Below are 23,368 nucleotides of genomic sequence, written 5' to 3'. Positions count from 1 at the left end.
GCTTCATCCCTGGGATGCAAGGCTGGTTCAACATATGCAAATCAATAAATGTAATCCAGCATATAAACAGAACCAAAGACAAAAACCACATGTTTATCTCAATAGATGCAGAAAAGGCCTTTGACAAAATTCAACAACCCTTCATGCTAAAAACTCTCAATAAATTAGGTATTGATGGGACGTATCTCAAAATAATAAGAGCTACCTATGACAAACCCACAGCCAGTATCATACTGAATGGGCAAAAACTGGAAGCATTCCCTTTGAAAACTGGCACAAGACAGGGATGCCCTCTCTCACCACTCCTACTCCTATTCAACATAGTGTTGGAAGTTCTGGCCAGGGCAATTAGGCAGGAGAAGGAAATAAAGGGTATTCAATTAGGAAAAGAGGAAGTCAAATTGTCCCTGTTTGCAGACGACATGATTGTATATCTAGAAAACCCCATTGTCTCAGCCCAAAATATCCTTAAGCTGATAAGCAACTTCAGCAAAGTCTCAGGATACAAAATCAATGTACAAAAATCACAAGCATTCTTATACACCAATAACAGACAGAGAGCCAAATCATGAGTGAACTCCCATTCACAATTGCTTCAAAGAGAATAAAATACCTAGGAATCCAACTTACAAGGGATGTGAAGGACCTCTTCAAGGAGAACTACAAACCACTGCTCAACGAAATAAAAGAGGATACAACAAATGAAAGAACATTCCATGCTCATTGGTAGGAAGAATCAATATCGTGAAAATGGCCATACTGCCCAAGGTAATTTACAGATTCAATGCCATCCCCATCAAGCTACCAATGCCTTTCTTCACAGAATTGGAAAAAACTACTTTAAAGTTCATTTGGAACCAAAAAAGAGCCCGCATCGCCAAGTCAATCCTGAGCCAAAGAACAAAGCTGGAGGCATCCACACTACCTGACTTCAAACTATACTACAAGGCTACAGTAACCAAAACAGCATGGTACTGGTACCAAAACAGAGATATAGATCAATGGAACAGAACAGAGCCCTCAGAAATAACACCGCATATCTACAACTATCTGATCTTTGACAAACCTGAGAAAAATAAGCAATGGGGAAAGGATTCCCTATTTAATAAATGGTGCTGGGAAAACTGGCTAGCCATATGTAGAAAGCTGAAACTGGATCCCTTCCTTACACCTTATACAAAAATCAATTCAAGATAGATTAAAGACTTAAACGTTAGACCTAAAACCATAAAAACCCTCGAAGAAAACCTAGGCATTACCATTCAGGACATAGGCATGGGCAAGGACTTCATGTCTAAAACACCAAAAGCAATGGCAACAAAAGCCAAAATTGACAAATGGGATCTCATTAAACTAAAGAGCTTCTGCACAGCAAAGGAAACTACCATCAGAGTGAACAGGCAACTTACAGAATGGGAGAAAATTTTTGCAACCTACTCATCTGACAAAGGGCTAATATCCAGAATCTACAATGACCTCCAACAAATTTACAAGAAAAAACCAAACAACCCCATCAAAAAGTGGGCGAAGGACATGAACAGACACTTCTCAAAAGAAGACATTTATGCAGCCAAAAAACACATGAAAAAATGCTCACCATCACTGGCCATCAGAGAAACGCAAATCAAAACCACAATGAGATACCATCTCACACCAGTTAGAATGGCAATCATTAAAAAGTCAGGAAACAACAGGTGCTGGAGAGCATGTGGAGAAATAGGAACACTTTTACACTGTTGGTGGGACTGTAAACTAGTTCAACCATTGTGGAAGTCAGTGTGGCGATTCCTCAGGGATCTAGAACTAGAAATACCATTTGACCCAGCCATCCCATTACTGGGTATATACCCAAAGGACGATAAATCATGCTGCTATAAAGACACATGCACACGTATGTTTATTGCAGCATTATTCACAATAGCAAAGACTTGGAACCAACCCAAATGTCCAACAATGATAGACTGGATTAAGAAAATGTGGCACATATACACCATGGAATACGATGCAGCCATAAAAAATGATGAGTTCACGTCCTTTGTAGGGACATGGATGAAATTGGAAATCATCATTCTCAGTAAACTATCACAAGAACAAAAAACCAAACACCGCATATTCTCACTCATAGGTGGGAATTGAACAATGAGAACACATGGACACAGGAAGGGGAACATCACACTCTGGTGACTGTTGTGGGGTGGGGGGAGGGGGGAGGGATAGCATTGGGAGATATACCTAATGCTAGATGATGAGTTAGTGGGTGCAGCGCACCAGCATGGCACATGTATACATATGTAACTAACCTGCACATTGTGCACATGTACCCTAAAACTTAAAGTATAATAATAATAATAATAATAAAAAAGAAAAACTGAAACTTCTCCCGACTTAGTTTATATACATCAAATAAAATCAATTTCTGATGAAAACCAAACATATGTATCATCAAAAAAGCTTCTATTATGAGGGTAGGAATGGATAGGGATGAATAACATTTAATAATGTCTGAACCACACAGCAAAAGCTCAGTTGTTTTCAAAGTTACTTAGCTATGAATTTTTCTAAGAAAAATTTGCAAAATGACCTATAAACTCTGCCATTTGTTGTTTATGATGGTAAGGTCTGTGGGCAGGCAAGGAAGTTTTAAAATTCGGGTCCAATTGCATGCCTAAGCATTTTTCATCCTATTGTGTTTGTACATGATGGTTTCTATTTCTTCTTTTATGCCTTGAATCATTTTAACATATTTATTTTATAGTTTCATTAAGAATATTCTATTATCTCAAATTCTCTGGGTGCCCATTTTTTCTGTTTGTATCATTTCACCTTCTCACAACCATTAATCCTGAATTTTATCCATTCTACATCTAACATATAAAATATTTTCATCAGTCCACTTATTTCCATCTTTACTGCCACTACCCTAGTCCATCAGAATCTTTCACTTTAATTACTGCAATGATCTTACTAGCCTTCCTAAAATTAGTTTTGTGATAACCTCATTCCCACTACCACTACCATAACATTTACCATCACCATCAAATCTATTCTTCTTAGGCAGGTGGATCTCAAAGAATGACTTCTAATCATGCCACAACCTACAATAGTTTTTGACTTAGGATAAAAAGCAAAACCTCAAAATTATCATGGCTTATAAGGCCACGAATCACCTATTCTTTGCCTATCTTCTTAACAGCTCCATCCAGACCATTCTCGATCATCTTACTCCTTATGAGTCAATCCATACTGATCTTCTTTGTTCTGAAAATGTACCAAGGTTCTAATATGACTAACTTGTCTCAGCTTGCCTGGGACTTCCCTGATTTCAACACTGAAAGTCTAACATCTTGGGAAAACCCCTTTACTCCCAGGCAAAATGGACTTAAATTGTTGAACAGAAGAAAAAAAACGAATGAATATTTGGCCTTGTCTGTTATATGCTCTCATTACTTGATCCTTTTGCTTCACTGCACATATCAGAATTATTATTACATTCTTAGTTGAACAAATAACCATCTTCTGTTTACTTTCTCCACCAGAATGTACATTCCATGAGGGCAGGCACCCTTGACTGTCTCCTAGCATCTAACAGAGTTGTCTGCATATAGAAAGTGCTCAATAAATATTTTAAATTACCAATAAAGTTTGTTTTAGCTATTTTATATTTTTGTTGTTATTCTGAATGACATTTCCATTGTACTTTATAATAGATAATTTAGAGATATAAAAACCTATTAATTTGTATATTTTGTATTTTTAAGAAAATTAGGAATTTCATTTATATTGGTTTCGTGCATTTAGAGAGTCATAAACTCTCACGATATAAAAAGGATCTTAGAGACCATCTAGTTGATTTCTCTCATTTTTACAGATGAGAAAATCTGAAACTCAGACAGGTTAAGTGACTTCTTCAAAGTGACACAGCTAATTAGTGGCAGAACCGGTCCAGGAACCAAGACCTATTTCTCTCAGAATAGTAATCTTCTCACATTGCTAATCAGAGATCATAGTTCCTTAGGCTACCAAACTGTTGTAGGGTTCTGACTTAGATTCTTGTCTGTTTAGCTAATTTACTGTGTCTCAAGGCAAGCCACTGTAAATCTTTTCATGAGCTTTACTACTTTCAACCAAATTTGTTTCCTTATTCATTAAGAGTGCCACACTTAACCCTCTAACTGGAGGGCAGAGTTCGGGTTTATTTTGCTTACCTATCTTTACTTACCAGTACAATGCTTGGTAAATGGGAGATAACATTTGTTGAGGTAATTTGTGACTAAGTGTGCTACCCTGTGAGCACACCTGCCAAAATGTGATACCACACAGGTGAAGCAACGCAGGTAGTCTTCAAACTTTTTTGTAGGATGAGGCTTTTGTGAGCCTGCCTATGAGGAGGGTAAAAGGAGGAAGTGGGGGGAGAGAGCAGTGAGGGAGAGAGGGAGGAGTGGAGGGAGGCAGAGGAAGAGAATGAACAAATGTATGTGTTTGAGTTAGTGAATAACTCTGACCTATTTCAAAGGACTGTTAATGTAGGAAAAGTTACAGTAAGACTGAGTGTTAATATCAAGTGCTGTACTTTGAGTGTGTTGCATTAGCCTCTTTTTTTTTTTTTTTGCTAGATTTAAAGTGTCTATTACATGTATGCTGTATATCTCTGAGTTTTTAGAATAAAAAAAGTCTATCCTGTGAGGGGACAGGTACTACAATAAAGTGTTATGTGTGCAAATCTATAAAGGTGGCACAAAAGTAGGGCACATAATTACCTGTTCTACCTATGTATGAGGCATGTACACATCCAAACAGCAAGGTAATTGCTTCAAATCTTCAATAAAATAAAAATCATCAATCACATGATTTTAGAGTTTGAAAATGACTTCTACAAACCTTATTGTCATTAGGTTAAGTGTTCTGCTTAGATTATTCAACTTGGATCAACATTACAACTCAGGGCACTCTCTCAATGAACAAAAACAGAACTCAAGTTTCTGGTTGCAAATAAACTGTCACCTATGACAATGAAGACAATTATTTGCTTCAGTTATCCCCACAAATGGCCACTCTCTATTTGTGGATGCTATGACCATATCTGAGAGTTAGAGCATCAGTTTTTCCATCTGATGGAGAAAAAAAGATGCCTGAGGTCACAGCCATAAGTACTAATCAGGAAGACCCTGGTATCTCACACTAACTTCATGAGAAATCTTTGTGGAAGTCTACATGTGAAGTATTTCACACATTCCTATATTTATATTGATTATACTTACACTCTAACAATTGCTAAAATTTGGCAGAAACATAATTGACATAATTTAAATATACTTGTAATAACACTCATGTGACTAAATAACACTCAATGTGACTAAAGCTAATTCCATCGGGAGGTACTTATAGTAAACCATATTTTGAATCCATCCAGGTAAAACCATGTGAATGGAATTAATTACAATAAACTGGTTGGTGAGATCAGAACTTAAAAGTGAACAGAAGCGTTGAATAGTTTTCATGACAGAAAAGTATCACTCAATGCTTTATTTAATCTCAATTTTTTAACCAAATGAACAGATTAATCTCGGTCACTTCTCTGGGAAGCTACTTTTCCCAAACTTGACCTTGACAGCAACACTACCAAGAATTTTCTAGCACTACAGCGAGTAATTAGTAAGATGAAGTATAAAATGATGTGAAAAATTCTGCTCTACTCAAGGCTGTAAAATTTTAGGACTTGTTTTACTTAAGTATTCTTGTCCTGAGGCAGGTGCAGCAATGATTCTTGAGAAAAATTCCGGTATATCCCTTCTTGGCCTACCTTTCTGTGGAGGTAAAGGGCTAGCTATCTAGGAGCGAACCTCATTAGGCTCCTCAACGTCCACAAAAGAATGTCAACCTATTATCTGTTATGTGATCTCTAAAGTTTAAAAACCCACCCCTGAATCAATCATGTAGAGTATCAATCTGCACTTCAGGCTTCTAAGAGTATATAAGACTGAAATGACTCAATGACTAAAACAGCCTGGCTGGGAGAATGTCCATATAAATAAGTATTATTGTAAAAACAAGTATTCTCCCTGTTTCTCCAGATAGAACAGGTTTTAACTAGATTCAAGCAGACCCATGAGAGTGCTATCTCTTTGGAGCATATTTTCTGAACAGACTTTACTTTACTATGTTGCTTTTAATGGTCATATCCTTGGCTTTTATTGATGGACAATAAAAGTTAAGAGGTGTGTGACACATGTGATTGCATTTCTTGCAATTATGATCTTGAGGATGTTATATACTACATCACATAGTGATGATAATGATCATGATGATAAAAAGATAGTAATAACCACAAAAGATAACACTTGTGTGTTTACCACTTTTTACTTATTAAGAAAATCACATATATGAAGTCTCATGTGATTCCCTTCTAGGAAAAGCTATTCTGCAAAACTTATAGTTCTCTTTGACAATCAACTTTGGGCTTAGATTGTCAGGAAACCCGAAACAAGTAAAAGCAATTTGATAGGCTCTTCTGATATGTGAATTTTGTTTTATTTTTCTCCTTTCTTGACTAATTAATGTATATTTTTCCTTTTTTCTGATTTTTTTTAATAAGTCACATATCACCATTTTATTACTTTGCTATAGAATCCTTCAAATAATATATAGGATAAAATAATATATAGGATATATATTAATAAATAAGAACTGATTAATAAATCTGTATAAAAATTTTGATATTAATATTCTCCCTATAGGTATGTTCTGAAGATCAAATGAATTAAAGTGTTAAACATACAGCACCCTGGCATACAGTGTGTAATCAGCTAATTTAAGTTCCTCTACCCAATCATTCAGATGCACTATAAAATTTGCAAATGACCTAATCACTCGTATGTCTCATCTTTTTTTCCATAGTGAAAACCGTTTTTCAGAAAATTATAATGGCTTTTCCTACTTTACTATATTGCCTCCTTAGAGAAATCTCAGTGTGATTTTTTCCACAGAGGTAGGAAACTTCTGATTTCTACATAAAAGCTACAGGAGAGGAAAGGAAGAAAAAAGGAAAACAATTTGCATGTGAAGCAGAGATTTCTCTAACATAAATAAAATGCTGTCAGAAAAGCAGATTGATGATAGCATTAAGGTAGCTTTAGGAGTTGGAAAAGGATTATACCTACGTTGATATTATATGTAAAAGTTTTGATAAACTAGAGGTCTCAGATGTCTATTCCAACTGCACTGGTAATAACAGCATAAAGTTCTGTGTTGAGAATTCTGAAGTTACATCTGCTCGGCAGGAAAAAGTACACTGTTCAACTAGTGATATGTTATAGATGCAGCCTACCTAAAAGAGTGGGGACCAATGCTTCATATTTACCATTTCTGCTCTATATAAAATAAGACAATAGTAACAATGATGATAATATTAAGCTGCAGTTATTATAGTCAGTGAAAATTATAAGAAATATATATGAATTCAAAGAGAAGTGATGAAATTCTTCTGTTTTACTAATATGCATTATTATTCACCTTAAAAAAAATCTTCAGATACGTTCTAAAGTGTTATTCCTATGCAGAAAATACTAATTGGCTTTAAAGGTAAGTTCTGAGAATTACTTCTAACAATATTTACTTCCTTAAAACTGTTACTATGAAGAAAAAAAAGAAGTACAACATTATCGGTTATCTTTGCTTTGGAATATACCAACCCAAACTTATGCTTGAAATAACCACAATTATTAAGTTTGCTTATAAATTTGCATTTGGACAGGGGCTGGCCAGGGAAGCTTGCCTCTGTGCCATCTAGCATCAACTGGGGCAACACAAAGGCTGAGGCTTACTTGAAGGCTAGGGACTGGATTCCTCTGAAGCCTTGCTCATTGATGTGCCTGATGGTTGCTGTTGGCTGTCAGTTGGGGATTCAGTGGAGCTGTCAGCTAAAACACTTATATGTGGTCTCTCCATGAGGCTGTTTGGCTTCTCATAGTGTAGAGGCTAGATTCCAGGAGCAAGTGGCCCAAGAGACAAGAAGTGGAAGCTGCCAGTTTCTTAAGGCCTGGACCTAGAAACTGGTACAGATCATTTTACTGTATTCTAATGGTCAAGTAGTCACAAAGCCAGATTCAAAGGAAGGGGACACAGGCCCAGTCCTCAGTGGGAGAAGTGTCAAAGAATTTTGGGGACATAGTTTCAAACTGACACAAATTGAAATTACCAAAATGGTTGAGAAAGGCACAAAGAAAGATAGCAAAAGAGAAAGATAAAAAAAAATAGAAGACTCTAAAAAGTAAATGAAGGAAATCGATTTATATAAAATATCAATAGGGTGGTAATTCAAGATATAAAATGACAAAATAAAGAAAGCATTACATTTGAGAGCACAAATAAAATAGGTATCAAGTATGTGTTATACCCTCTGATCTTCAGAATAAAAAATGTAGCCACATATTCTGAACACTTAGAATATGACACACAAAAAGATAAGTCTAGATATTATCACAGCTGAAATTCCATGAAACTTCAAAATAAAGGGCTAATAAAATAAAGCAAAAACAACCTAGGAATAATCAATGCAAATCTGTTCAAATTACATATCTTAAAGGGAAATATTGCTATTAATGAGTACTTCCATGAACCAATTATAACAATAATTTATTTTAATATAACATAAAGTATTAGTCTTGCCAGGCTCATCATCTTGTCCCAGAAGGAAATGTAAAATTATTATATCTGTCTGAAATAACAACCAATAGTTTTTGTTCTACAGTAAATTCTGCTTCAATTGACTCACATAGCACTATTAATTAATAAGAATTATTTAAAAACTGAAAGTCAATATTTACTGAATTATTCTATATTATTCTAGGTGCTTACCATATATTGACTTATTTAATGTTCAATATTAACACCCTATTTTTACCACTGAGGAAAATGAAGCACCGAGAATTTGAGTAATTAAGTCACTCAGTAGTAAATAATGGAGCCAAAGCTAATTCAGGCAGTCTGACTCCAGAGCCCTAAACAAAACCTATTACATTCTGTAAAAGGCAAACAGTAACAGTACAAATGACTGGAAAAGTATGCTTCACATTCTATAAAAAACAATAGTTTTCAAATGCAGAGTAGAATCTTTAAAGCTGGATCATTTCCTCACACACACAAAAAAAGCTATATAACAGAAGGAAACAAAATTAGTGCTTGACAACTTCTCAAACCCCATCCTTCTGGGTACAAGTAGATCATACAGGTATAAATCAAAGAAAAAGGAGAAAGTCATATTTCCTGCTTTCCTATCTCACACCATTTTCAAGCAAAAATGATGAGAAACATTCACCATTTGCCCTGGCACATATACAGGAACTATGGAGGATACTTTTAACTAACAATGAAATCATGAAGGACATCCAACAGATTGTGGGAGTTTTAGAAGATCCATTTCTAGTCCTCGAAGAGTTAAACCTGAACAAATTCTCATTTAATTTCATCTAATAAAGATCAAAGTTAATAACACTTAGAGAAGGGATTTGCTTACAAGAAAATGACGAACACTTCAAATCTACAACTTTTTTTGTGAACACAATCAAATTCGAGAAAGCCTAAATTAAAAAGATTTTTTTTCTTGAAAATTGGAAAGAAATTAAATGTAAGAATTAATTGTAAGAGTGTTTCTATATAATTAACCTTCCAGTTCAATAATGGATAATTACCAAACTTATTTTTTTTTCTAAGAAACAGAGTCTTACTTTGTCACCCAGGTTGGAGTGCAGTGGCATGATCATAGCTCATTGCAATCTCCAGCTCCTGGGCTCACGTAATCATCTCTCCTAAGCCTCCTGAATGGCTGGGACTACAGGTGCGTGCCACCAGGCCTGGCTTTAAAAAAATAATAATTTAATTCTAAGTTCTGGAATACACGTGCTGGATGTGCAGGTTTGTTACACAGGTAAACATGTGCCACAGTGGGTTTGCTGCACCTATCAACCCATCACCTAGGTATTAAGCCTCACATGCATTAGTTATTATCTTGATGTTCTCCTTCTCCCTGACCCCCGACAGGCCCCAGTGTGTGTTGTTCCCTTCTCTGTGTCTGTGTGTTCTCATTGTTCAGCTCTCACTTATTAGTGAGAACATGTGGTGTTTGGTTTTCTGTTCCTGTGTTAGTCTGCTGAGGATAATGGCTTCCAGCTCCATCCATGTCCCTGCAAAGGGCATGATCTCATTCCTTTTTATGACTGCATAGTATTCCATGGTGTATATGTACCACATTTTCTTTATCCAGTCTATCACTGATGGGCATTTGGGTTGATTCCATGTCTTTGCTACAGTGAATAGTGCTGCCATGAACATACATGTGCATGTATCTTTATAAGAGAATAATTTATATTCCTTTGGGTATATACCCAGTAATTTATATTCTTTTGGGTATATACCCAGTGTATACCCAGTAATTCCTTTGAGTATAATTCCAGTAATGGAATTGCTGGTTCAAATGTTATTTCTGGATCTAGGTCTTTGAGGAATCTCCACACTGACTTCCACAATGGTTGAACTAATTTACATTCCCACCAACAGTGTGAAAGCGTTCCTATTTCTCCACAATCTCACTAACACCTGTTGTTTCTTGACATTTTAATAATTGCCATTTTGATTGGCATGAGATGGTATCTCATTGTGGTTTTGATTTGCATTTCTCTAATGACCAGTGATGTTGAGGTTTTTTTCATGTTTTTTGGCCACATAAATGTCTTCTTTTGAGAAGTATCTGTTCATGTCCTTTGCCCACTTTTTAATGGGCTTTTTTTTTCTCTTGTAATTTTGTTTACGTTTCTTGTACATTCTGGATATTAGACCTCTGTCAGATGGATAGATTGCAAAAATTTTCTCCCATTCTATAGGTTGTCTGCTGACTCTGATGATAGTTTCTTTTGCTGTGCAGAAGCTCTTTAGTTTAATTAGATCCCATTTGTCAATTTTTGCTTTTGTTGCAATTGCTTTTGACATTTTTGTCATAAAATCTTTGCCCATGCCTATGTCCTGAATGGTATTGCCTAGATTTTCTTCTAGGGTTTTTATAGTTTTGGGTTTTACATTTAAGTCTTCAATCCATCTTGAGTTAATTTTTGTATAAGGTGTAAGGAAGGGGTTCAGTTTCAATTTTCTGCACATGGCTAGCCAGTTTTCCCAGGATCATTTATTAAATAAGAAGTCCTTTCCCCATTGCTTGTTTTTGTCAGGTATGTTGAAGATCAGATGGTTGCAGATGTGATCTTATTTCTGAGATCTCTATTCTGTTCCATTGGTCTATGTGTCTGTATTTGTACCAGTACCACACTGTTTTGGCTACTGTAGCCTTGTAGTATAGTTTGAAGTCAGGCAGCATGATTCCTTCAGCTTTGTTCTTTTTGCTTAGGATAGTCTTGGTAATGCAGACTCTTTTTTGGTTCCATATGAATTTTAAAGTAGTTTTTTCTAATTCTGTGAAGAATGTCAATGGTAGTTTAATGGGAATAGAATTGAATCTATAAATTACCTTGGGCAGTATGGCCATTTTCACAATATTGATTCTTCCTATCTGTGAGCATGATATAGAGCAAACAAACCCCAAAGCTAGCAGAAGACAAGAAATAACCAAAATCAGAGCGAAACTTTTTAAAGTTTTTGTAGAGATGGGGTTTTCCTTTGTTGTCCAGACTGGTCTTGAACTCCTGGCTTCAAGCAATCCTCCTGCCTCTGCCTCTCCATGACAGGGTTAAAAGCATGAGCCACTGCTCTCAGGCTGATTATTAAATTTTTATCTTAACCCTTTAAGAAAATGATTTATGGTAGTGAGGTGCTTACCATGTACTGACTTATTTAATGTTAATGAGAGAGGTGAATGCCCCTCTACACTCATTAACATTAACATAAACCATAACATAAACAAATATAAAAAGAACACTTAATATGTATAGAAAATATATAAGTCTAACACAGTCTGATGGAAGATAATGACTCCCAAAAGAAGGTGACACTTGAAGTGAGTCTTAAAGAATAGGCAAAATTTTAGCCAAGAAAAGGAATCAAACTTTTCTCTTAAATAATCATTTAAACTATTTTTATGATTGTAGTGGAGTCCATCACAGTTACACCAAACAATACCAAGAATTATCACATAAGAATCAAATACATTCGAATCACATATATTATGGTTCTTATCCTTCTTCCTCTAGTTTTCTCCTTCTCTCTCATTTCTTTTCACCAAACATCTAAAGTGTTTTATGAGCTAGTACTCTTAAGCACTGAAGATAGAAAAATAAAAAAAGAAAAAAACAAATCCCTTTCTAATGTCTTTAGGCGAATTGGAAATTAAGTATTTTTTCTTGTAAACACGAAAGAAATTTTCTATAGGTATCATCTTTAACTATCTTTAGGATAAAAATGGCAGATAACAAAGATATCAATGGCTTACAACTGAAAGCAGAAAGAACAGTGATAATTTTCTATATCTTAAATATATATCCTGAAACTCTGGTGAATGAGAAAAAGGTAAGTAGGTTAGGAAGAGCTATGTTCAGTTATTCATAAATATTTATTAGTTGTAATTAAATGACTCATATCCAGGATATACCAATAGCTCCTTCAAGTCAATAAGGAAAAAGAAACAAACAAACACTAAAATGGCCTAAACACTCAAGTAGATACTTCATAAAATAAAAAATCCAAATGCCTAATAAACATGAAAAGCTGGTAAACCATTTTGGTAACTGGAGAAATATAAATTAAAATGCTGCCAGGTGTGGTAGTGTGTGCCTGTAATCCCAGTGTCTCTGGAGGCTGAGGTAGGAGGATTGCTTGAGCTTAGCAGTTCAAGGCTGCAATGAACTATGATGGCACCACTGCACTCCAGCCTGAGTGACATTGTGAGACTTTGCCTTAAAAAATAAACAAACAAAAAAAAAAGAGAAAGTAGAATGATATAAGTTTGGCTAACATAAAAAAGTCTAGAAATATTAAGTATTGGTGAGAAGGCAGAGCAATGGGAATTCTTACATACTACTGGTGAAAAAAATTAATTCGTATATCCACTTTGGAAAAATTTGACATTGCCTAGTAAATTTAAAATTATACATACTCTACAACACAGCAATTCCACTTTTAGGTATAGAGTATACAGAAGATCAACCTGTGCCAGGACACAGACATTTTCAAGAATGTTCAAAGCAGCCTTATTCATATTAGCATCAAACTGACAACAACTCAAAAGTCCATCAACAGCAGAAATTTCGGTTAAAAAAAGTTTGTAATATGTTCATAAAATGAAATATTATATAGCACAAAATGAACATGCTGCAGCTACATGCACATAGATGAATCTTAAGAACAACACTGAGAAACAGAACACCCAGAGAATGCATACTGTATGATTCCCATTCAAAAGAAGCAAAACTTAACTGTAGTACTTAGCAATACATAGTGAAACTACAAAGAAAAGCAAGAAAGTGCTCAACATAATAAAAGAGAAGGTGATAGTTCTGACAGGAACTATCAGAAGATGGGGGCTTCTGAGGTGCTGGCAAAGTGTTTGTTGATCTGGATGGTGTAACACAAGTACTGATTTACAATAATTGCTTTATAATATTATATATTCTATTATAATACTGCTTTATAATAATTTGGTGAACTATACATTTATCTATTTTTCTCTGAGTTATAGTTCATATTACAAAGCATCAGAAAAAAATCCTAAGGGCAATTATAAATGCTGAATAGCTGAAATTACAAGAGTTGAAAGATTTTTACAAAGATAGATGATAGAGATAGACAGCTAGATAGCTAGATACTTTTTGAGCACCTTCTATATGCTAGGAACTATGCTAGGTGTTGAAGACATGGTATACAAAACAGATACGGTCTGACCATAAAAGTCTTATTTATTTTTTTACCATAAAAGTCGTGAGAGAGAAACATCAGACAATCATGAAAATCATTTTAAATCAAAAAGTTTGTTGATTACTATGAAAGAAGTTTGTGATGCTTTGAGAGAAGCTGTTATAACCTAGTGTTAGGTGTCAGGAATGTTTCACTGAGATATAAAGTTTAAGCTGAAACTTTAATAATAAGCCTAAATTCATCTGGGAGAGAGGGAAGAGGTAAGTATTTCAGGTAGATGGAAAAACAGGTACAAACCAAGGAACTAAAAAAGCAAGCCAATGGGTTAGAGTGGTCCAGGATGAGACTGGAGAAGTAGACATGAGCAAACCATGGAAGCTTGTAGCTATATTAAGAATTCCAGTAGGTAACAACAAATAGCTGAATTAATAAACAAATGAACAAAGAAAATTGCCCGCTTTTTTTAAAAAATAGTAACTTCATTACAATTCTGTTAAGAAACCATTTTACTGTGATTTTGTTTGAATGTATGAGACTATGACTGTAAAACTTTCCTATATCCTTTCACAAATGTTTCCTAGAATTGTGTTCTAAATGCTATCACTTATATCAAATGACAATTGAACAGATAAATCATTCTCTTTTACTAAAAAAAAAAGAATTCTGAAATTGTATCCTATGGGCAGATGGAAGCCATTGAAGGGTTCAGTGCAGGAGATTAATAGGATCCGATTTACAGATTTTCATATGCCCTCTTTTATTATTCTAATGGTTTTTTCTAATTTTTGCTTTCATCATCTCATTCACAGCACAACTCATCATTAACCTTCTGACCCCAACAAAGTTATCATCCTAAAGCACAGTTCATATCACAAAACTCTCTTTGGTGATAATAGGCAATAGCTCTCAGGAGACTGTAAGTTTAATGAGCACCTACCATGTGCCAGTCAGTCTTCTAGGATGGGGGACATGTTATTGAACAAATAGGCAAAATTCCTGCTTTTAGGGAGCTCACTTTCTAGTAAGAAAGCCTGAGGCTAACCCACTAATCAGACATAAAATACAATGTTAGGGAGTGGTGAATGTGATAAAGAAAAATAAAGCAAATAAAGAAAATAAATAGATTTAATAAAATCAAGAAACAACAAATATAACAAAACATTATGTCCCTCTCTGTTCAACTGCTCCTCTAACAAGTTTTGTGTATACCTATATTTGTGACTTGCTGGACTCTTTATATCCCTCTAGTTGCTCTCACTTTGCATTTTGTGAATTCAAATGCAGCATTTTTTAAACTTTTAAGTTCAGGGTATGTGTGTAGGTTTGTTACACAGGCAAACTTGTGTCCTGGGGGTTTACTGTATAGATTATTTCACCATCCACCTATTAAGCCTAGTATCCATTAGTTATTGTTCCTGATCCTATCCCTCCTCTCACCCTCCACCTTCCAATAGGCCCCAGTGTGTGCTGTTGTTCCCCTCTACGTGTCTGTGTGTTCTCATCATTTAGCTCCCACTTATTTTATTAATTATTATTATTATTATTATTCAGACGGAATCTTGTCTTGTTGCCCAGGCTGGAGTGCAGTAGCGTGATCTCGGCTCACTGCAACCTCTGCCTCCTGGGTTCAAGCAATTCTCCTGCCTCAGCCTCCCAAGTAGCTGGGATTACAAGCCTGAGCCACCATGTCCAGCTAATTTTTATATTTTTAGTAGAGACGGGGGTCTCACCATGTTGGCCAGGCTGGTCTCAAACTCCTGGCCTCAAGTGATCCCCCTACCTTGGTCTCCTAAAGTGCTGGGATTACAGGCACGAGCCACCACGCCTGGCCTGGCTCCCACTTATAAGTGAAAACATGTGGTATTTGGTTTTCTGTTCCTGTGTTAGTTTGCTAAGGATAATGGTCTCCAGCTGCAGCCATGTCCCTGCATAGGACATATTTTTTCCTAGGTCATCAGTGTTTTTAAAAGAAGCTAAGAGATCTTAATTCACTCTAAATGATTACTGGAGATAAAACGTAAACAAAATCTCTAAATTTGCTCATTTTTTTTCTGCGATGCCTATTTGCCTTTCCTTATTCCTTAGCTATAACGTGAGGTTTTAGTAATAAGTTCATAAGTTAGTGTTTTTCAAGATAGCAAATTATCAGACTATGTCTGCATTACCATTTCTGTTATATGGCTAGATGGCCTGTTACCTTTATCAGGAGGCTCAATATGCCAGTGTTGACTAAATTTAGCAGTAATAAATCATGCTTATGTTTACTCTTTGACTTCTAAGTACAACTGCTATATTTTCCATATGTCTCTGGTGACTAAAACTCTCTAAAAACGACAGCTAAATACATCAGTTAGAAGGTTGAGAAAATAAGTTTTAATAATGGCTCAGTGAACGAGCTGAGGAAGGTGTATCTAGAGCCAATCTCAGTATGGGGAAAAGTGTCTGGTGGAATGCCTATTTTGAAAAAGCTCCTTGGGACACTGTATATCATTCCCTGACCAACCCCAACCTCTCTTACACAATCTCCTCATTTTACAGATAAGAAAGCTACGACCCAGAGAGATTATCTAACTTGTAAAAATCATATAAGCCATGAAAGGCAAAGCCAGGATTAGAATTCAGAACAGCTGTCTCTTGTCTGTCTGGGTTCTTTTCATTAATCCTTGCATTTCTCAGACTGGGCCCCCAAGAATTCTATGATCTGTAAGTAAGACTGGAAGATGCTGTGTTAAAGTAGAAAAGAATTACTTTAGGATTTCTTAAAATCTAAAATATGCAAATATAAGTTTAGATTCTATAAAAGAAGTACTCAGGATTTTCAAATGAACTTCTTGATGAGGTGTTTTTATGTTTGCTATTTTTTTTAAAAAGAACTATTATTAATGAAGCAACACAGAAAATGGTGGTTTGGAACTTAAATCTGTCTCCTTTATTTTCAATTTATTTTTACTTCATTAAAACAGATTAATAAGAATCCCAGGATACACAGTTTACATATTACAAAGAATCACTGAATTTCTTTTACTAATCTACCAAATAAAGTAAGTTGTGAGGCAAATCTTAATTTTTATTTAGTGGTAGGTTCTATGAGTCTATTAGCCAAATGTGGTCTTTTGATCACTTAGGAATACTTGTCATTGGATGTAGATTTCTATGCATATAAAAATAAGCAATTTGTGTTTAAATTAGTTATAAAATAAAGCTAATCTGATTACTAAGATTAATTTTTTAAAAGGCATATTCATGATGTTTTTAATAGATCCTACTGAGTCTTTAAAGACATCCACATTCCTCAGATTAGTCATTTTTTAGTCCCATTTTAAGACGAAGGCATTTGGAGCCTGTGTTTCTGGCAAATATGTTTAAATTTTAATTCTTATTTTGACAACAGGACTATTTGATTTCAATTGCTTTAAAACAAACTGTAAGGATCAATAACAAAGAGGACAAAGTAGTTTTGAGTCTGTGATAAAAATAGGTACTAAAATGCTACTGGTTATACAGGATCTGTTGTGAATAGGTCAGCTCAAGGTCCCAGGTAAACATCTTGTTTGTGTCCTGAAGCCTTGTTTTCTGCATGCCTTATACTCTCAGTAGGGTCCTCCTACTCGGGTCTAAACACTGGGCCACTGCACCCTATCGATCTTCTTTAAATCTCCAGAATAATAAATTTCAAGGCAACACAGCAGAAGCCGACTAAAGCCCTTTAATTACATCACTGCTGAAAGGAAATCATTGATCAATGGCATTATGGGAAAATAAACTGCCCCCCAAACCAGATCAAAGTCAATAAAATAGCTGACTAGCTGCCCCATTTGGGACTTCCACTAGATTAGTGCTCATGGACAAGCAAAAGAGATGATTCTAATGCATGCTGCTTACTATCTTTTTGAAGCTCTCCCTGGCAGGTGTCACGCTCTGAGCATGGTTTCTGATTACTCTAATTAAATATAATATTATCAACAGATCTTCGTATTGATCCTTAAAATCTCCCCTTCTAAACAAAAAATTAAAAGCCTAGAGAGAGGGCTTCATAGGGTACCAGGTTATTTTAATGACTTTAGTACTGTATCAATTTTCTTAATGTATTATTTTAATATTTATCAACATCAAGGTACCAATTACCTTAAGAATTTTAAATAACATGCAAAATGAACAATTTTAAAACTTGCTCTTGCAGAGATTAGATAAATTCTTTTCAATTTATATAAAGTTACACTCCCAATTTTTCTACTAAATGTGGCTAACTGTGCTGGTTACTACTCATTATTGATAGTTTATTTAAATACATTGCCCAATACATATAATACAATATGGCAATGAATTCTTTTTTCTCAAGTAGTTAAAAAATTGTGAGAACATTTTAAGAAAATAATTTTATAATAAGCTTATGAACAATAATAGCAATATTCATAGTTTTCAAATAGGCAATAATATTTCAATGCTTGAAATCCTATTAATTCTATACTTGCAGATTTCAAAATGTCTTCTTCTGTTTGGTTAGGGATAACAATTTGCAAACAAAGTTGAAAACCTCAAATCTCTCTTCAAAAAGGAGACCGTACAAATTTATAAAATGAAATATTTATAAGCTTATTGACATAAATTTTCATGTAAAATTCCAGAATCATGTTAATTAGAAAATGTAATATTATCTTTAAAGTAAATTTTGAGAATTTTAAGAATAATGTAAATTTAAGAGTGTACAAGGGGAAACCTAAAATACCAGATACAATGATTCATTTACGGGCATTACTTTAGCTACTCGATCTAGCAAATGCTAACAGCCATGCCTTCTTCCCATTCTACATTTCTTCCTATTCAGTCCCTATTCCCTCAGGTGGTTCTCATTGCTAATGCCCAAATGGCATCAACCTGTTGTTTAGCTCATCTATGAAAAGGCTAGCCTGCTGGCTAATTTACCAAGGGATTAAAGCCCTGAAACCACTTCAATCTGCTACTTTGTTTCCATGTAAAAGCCTTACCCATGACACCAGTTCCCTCATGTTAAAATTGAAAATCTCTTTAAAAGAAAGAAAAATCCAAAGTAAAAACTGTTTAACAGAGAAACTGCATGCCAAAAATAATATTCTGCACCCTTGAACAGTGCTATAAAATAACATTCTGTTAGTTCTGAAGTACTGCATTATATACTACAAAGAATTTCATGTATTAAATGTTTACCAGTTCATAAAATTAACAGAATTCACACAGGCACCAATGTTGGGGGAGAAGGGTGCATGAAGATTAATGTAAAACTGTATGTAGATATAGTTTATCATTGCAGTATAACATTTAATTAAAATTCACATTTGTGTGCATTTTGTTGAATGACAAAACATGATAACTGCATTAATTTACACTGGAAAATGGAGGTCCCAACAAACAAGCAACTTTCAGTTTCTGATTTAATAATAATAGAGACTTAAAGAGTCATAATTCTTAAAAAGATGGACAGGTATATACAGCAATTAATTTTTCATGCAAAAAATCTGCTAGCTTGATTTTTCTCTACCAGAATAAGCTTTAAGTTCAGACATTTTATGCAGAAAACATTTACATTTTTTCCTTTCTGTTGAAGTTTAGTCAGAGTATAACAATAATCACAGTGATTTTTTTCCTTTAATGACTTTACTCCTTGAAAACCATTACAGTAGCACCAAATTTTTGCTAAGTGGCCATTAAAACACTAAAGAAAAAGAAAACTTTTTAAGGTAAGTATTCATTACCCAGTTTGAGGGAGGACAAATGGAACAAATTGAAAAATGTAATCAACCCGTATTCATGTGTTATTGAAGAATAAGGAACTAAAATGCAAGTGTATATTCTTTATATCCTTGCTATACTTCAGTAAATTTTTCTTTCAACATAACTTCAGGATTATCACATTTAAAGTAGAACTGTATATTAAAGAAATGAGTTTCTACTTCAATCTCAATTTTCTATTTAAATTTTTCCCAGGTAAGCTGAAAACTAATTACAGTAAATTTACTAGACAAGCCATTATTTCACAATATTTCACTGATGTTTATTTATTATAACCCTGAGAAGTGAGGGAGAAAAAAGCATGACGACAAAACAATTGACCCAATAAAAGCTAAATATCAAGTATTTTATAGTTTGTAGCAGTGACTGAATTAGATCATTCAGAGGGGAAGATAAATATTATTGTTTCTCTCTTCATTTCTTTACTGTCATGACTAGTGTCCCTTGTACCTATTGGTGCCAACAGCACAGATTTGCTGGAATGAAAAACAATGTCAGCAATGGATGTGTCAGTGCCAAAGGCTTAAGAGAAAATGAATGTGCTCTAAGTTAGGATCAGTGTGATATTCAAATTCAAAGTACTTCACATAAGGACAAGATACTCAAGGTCCCATTTCAATCACAATTTTATTATAGCAACAAATATGAAATTCTGACTACCAATAAAAATACTAAATTTGATGCACTTCCCTGAAAAATTCATGGCCTTGAAAGATATTCTGCAAGCTGTCACCCCCAAGGACTATAATGGATTTGTCTTTAAAGAAAAATGTTTACAGTATGAATTATCAAATATATTTTCTGTACGTTTACACATTTTAAAGAAATATAAATTATTTATCTTGGTTGACATTTATTGACAAAATTCACATTAAGTGGAATTTTGAGAAGCTCCTTAATCAAGTTTTATAATAATGAGTTACATTTTAAGTATTTCTTTTCTATCAAGACTAGTGTGAAATTTCTTTCTTATAGTTTATATAACGAATTGCTATGCTGAATTTTATAAGGTCCAAATTTAGTGATCACTAAACAAGTCTCTTGTTAAATAACTCATAAAATAGGAACACATTATTAATAATCAATGCTAGTAAAAATAACTTCCATTTTAGTTTTTAAGCAACAAAGAAAATTGTTTCTTAATTTTCATTTATTTAAAATAAGTTTTAAAAGGTGTCAATCTGAAAAGCAGAGTGATTTTCCACATTTATGTCTCAGTTGAGGTATATTTCCTAAAAACAGAACTCCTGAGGCATAAAACTGCTAAATTTTACTTCTGATTAAAATAAAGTTTGAAGTGGACATATTAATGAGCACATCCTTTTTATCCTTACAGAATTCACTTCTAAATTTTTTTTTATTTGGAGAAAAACCAAGAATAAGCTATACTATGGAGAGTAATTTCTACCAACCCCCATAATTCACCAAAACCAGACTGCTTCAGTGTCTCTAAAAAAGAAAGTAAGACACTGAATGCAAAGCTTCAACAAACTATTATTACACGCTTTTCCAGTCCATTAAAAGAAAGTAATTTAATCAGTTTATAGTTTCTCAGGAAAATCTCATTGAGAGAAATTTTATTGCCAGCTATCTAAATAGTAAATACCTATTATCCTCTCAGAATGAGTTTTTGCTTGCCAAGGGCAAACCCATTGCTGTTATTGTAGAGCTCTGTCAGAGAAACTAGAAGTTAAAAAGGTTATAAAGATACCACTAATGTCATGGGACTGTCTTATTGGGACTCAAAAATGCTTAGTAACTGAGGGTTTTATTCAAAGTGTATTAGCACCCATAAAAACAGCAGAGTGAATATGATACTTTAGGTTTTATTTTGTTATAGCCTAGAAAAATCACCTACAAACAGCTGAATATTGTAAATGTATCTGCTGGACAGCACAACTCATTTTATCATCTGGCTCTAGCTGAAGTCTTTAAAGAAAATATCAATAACATACATACAGCTTAAAGGCAAATCTAGATCCAACCAATGAGGACAACAGAGAAAAGTATAAATGATAACTAATTGGTCCTGACAGCATGTACCTTTGATAGAAGTATGAGTCAGCAAATGACAAATGTTCTTTAATTCTTATATTCTAACTTAAAGAGAAACTGTTACAAAATAGCTTATATTAATGTTTATTAATATACAAAATGGTGAATGACTACACTAAGCAACAGATAATGAGGGACATAAAATAATTCTGCCTCTATTAATTTTCTGATTTTGGAGCTTTTGGACTAATTACATAGAAAATATTCTACTAGTTTATTTTTAGGTTTAGTAGATCTATAATACAACTCTTAAAGTCATTCATCTGTCAGCTCCAACAGTTATATAAATAATAACCATTTAAAGAAAAATTTTAAAGATATACTTGCCTTAACTTTTTGAATATTGATGATACTGTGCCTATACTTCCTCTCTTCAGATCATTGCCAGTATAAATATGGACATACGAAGTTTATAAAAAGTAGACTGATGAGGGTCTGATTTGCCTAAAACGTCCAGCTTTTAATAGGCCAAATATAAAAAGTAGTAGAAAGGGGGAAAAAACCCTCTCAGTGCTAGTAAGATATTTTCTGACTACAGAAGAAATTGAATGGTCAAACTCTGAGGGCGGCATATGTCAAATGAATGATGGAAGCACTGAAATAATTAAACTCTAGCTATAATTACTCAAGGTAGATTCTGCTAACCCAAACAAACCTGCCTTGGGAATTCCTTTTTGTTTTCAAAGTCCAGCTCTTGCATCATCTTCTCCATTAACTTTTCCTAAATTTCCCCTACCCCACCTTAAATCCCTTTCCTCTACACCTGCATAAAATTGTACTATAACACTTAGTATACTGAGTGTCTTCAAATGGGAAGTGTGAACTGTTCATTTCCACATATTTCACACTGCCATGTTATCTACACACAGAAAGGTTCAGTAAGTTTTCATTAAGTTCATAAATTTAAATTAAATTAAAATTAAACCATGATTTTATTTGAACTGAAATTCAAGGTAATTTGTTTCTGTGAACTGGCCAAAGACCTTATCACATAGGTTTCAATAAATCTCTGTATCTCTATTTATTATATACAATTTTAAAACATAAACATCTTACATATCACGGTTTCTTTACCTGAATGGAAATCTAAAGTGATTCAGAAATGCTTCTGCAATCTATACACTTAGTTGAATTACTAAAAGCCAGTATTTGCTAATAGGAAAAGGAGTTCTGGATGCTGATCTTGAAGTGGCTATATAAATTACTGCCACTTAAGTTTGGGAAATAAAAGAGAATACTCAAAACATGCAATTTCTTGGTCAATTTCTTCTCGTTCTCATGCAATCTGTTTTTTACCCAGACGTTTCTCCGTCCTATCGCAATCTATAAGTAAATAAATAAATAAACAAAGAAATAAATGGTTTAAAGAGCAGTTTTCTGATGCTAGCCTGGAAAAACAGATTACACTAGCAGTGGGACTAAGGAAAGTCTGTGGGTAGAAATAAGCAAAGGGTTCTCTTCTGATGATATTCTCCTTCCCTGAAAACTCAGCCACAGAAAGAATCATCAGACATCTCTGCCCGTTACAGTCATGTGTCTCTTAATGATGGGGATATGTTCTGAGAAATATGTTGCTAGAATTTCATCGTGTGACCATCATAGGGTGTACGTCCACAAATCTAGATGGTATAGCCTACTACACATCTAGGCTATACAGTATAGCCTACTGTTTCTAGGCTACAAAGCTGTATAGCATGTT

At 34.3% G+C, this 23,368-nt stretch overlaps 1 protein-coding gene across 5 annotated transcripts in view, besides 2 other annotated features; it reads right to left on the bottom strand.

Annotated features, from left to right (window-relative positions):
* RSRC1 (arginine and serine rich coiled-coil 1) overlaps nt 1-23,368 on the bottom strand; it is a 435,642-nt gene that overhangs the window by 121,302 nt on the left and 290,972 nt on the right. The gene's annotated exons all lie outside the window — the stretch shown is intronic.
* Nucleotides 3,235-3,484: an enhancer, noted in NCBI's record as "active region_20747". NCBI's record gives its function as "activates an Ori minimal core promoter by ATAC-STARR-seq in GM12878 lymphoblastoid cells {active_cell/tissue: GM12878}" and the evidence as "EXISTENCE:reporter gene assay evidence [ECO:0000049][PMID:35858748]".
* Nucleotides 13,147-13,740: an enhancer, noted in NCBI's record as "OCT4-NANOG hESC enhancer chr3:158128478-158129071 (GRCh37/hg19 assembly coordinates)". NCBI's record gives its function as "activates a minimal SCP1, AML or CMV promoter by ChIP-STARR-seq in naive H9 embryonic stem cells {active_cell/tissue: H9 hESC(naive)}" and the evidence as "EXISTENCE:reporter gene assay evidence [ECO:0000049][PMID:30033119]".

This window comes from Homo sapiens, chromosome 3 (assembly GCF_000001405.40).
Source record: "Homo sapiens chromosome 3, GRCh38.p14 Primary Assembly".
Taxonomy (NCBI): Eukaryota; Metazoa; Chordata; class Mammalia; order Primates; family Hominidae; genus Homo; species Homo sapiens.
Note: the sequence above shows the minus strand (reverse complement) of the source record. Positions and strands in the feature narration are given on the sequence as shown.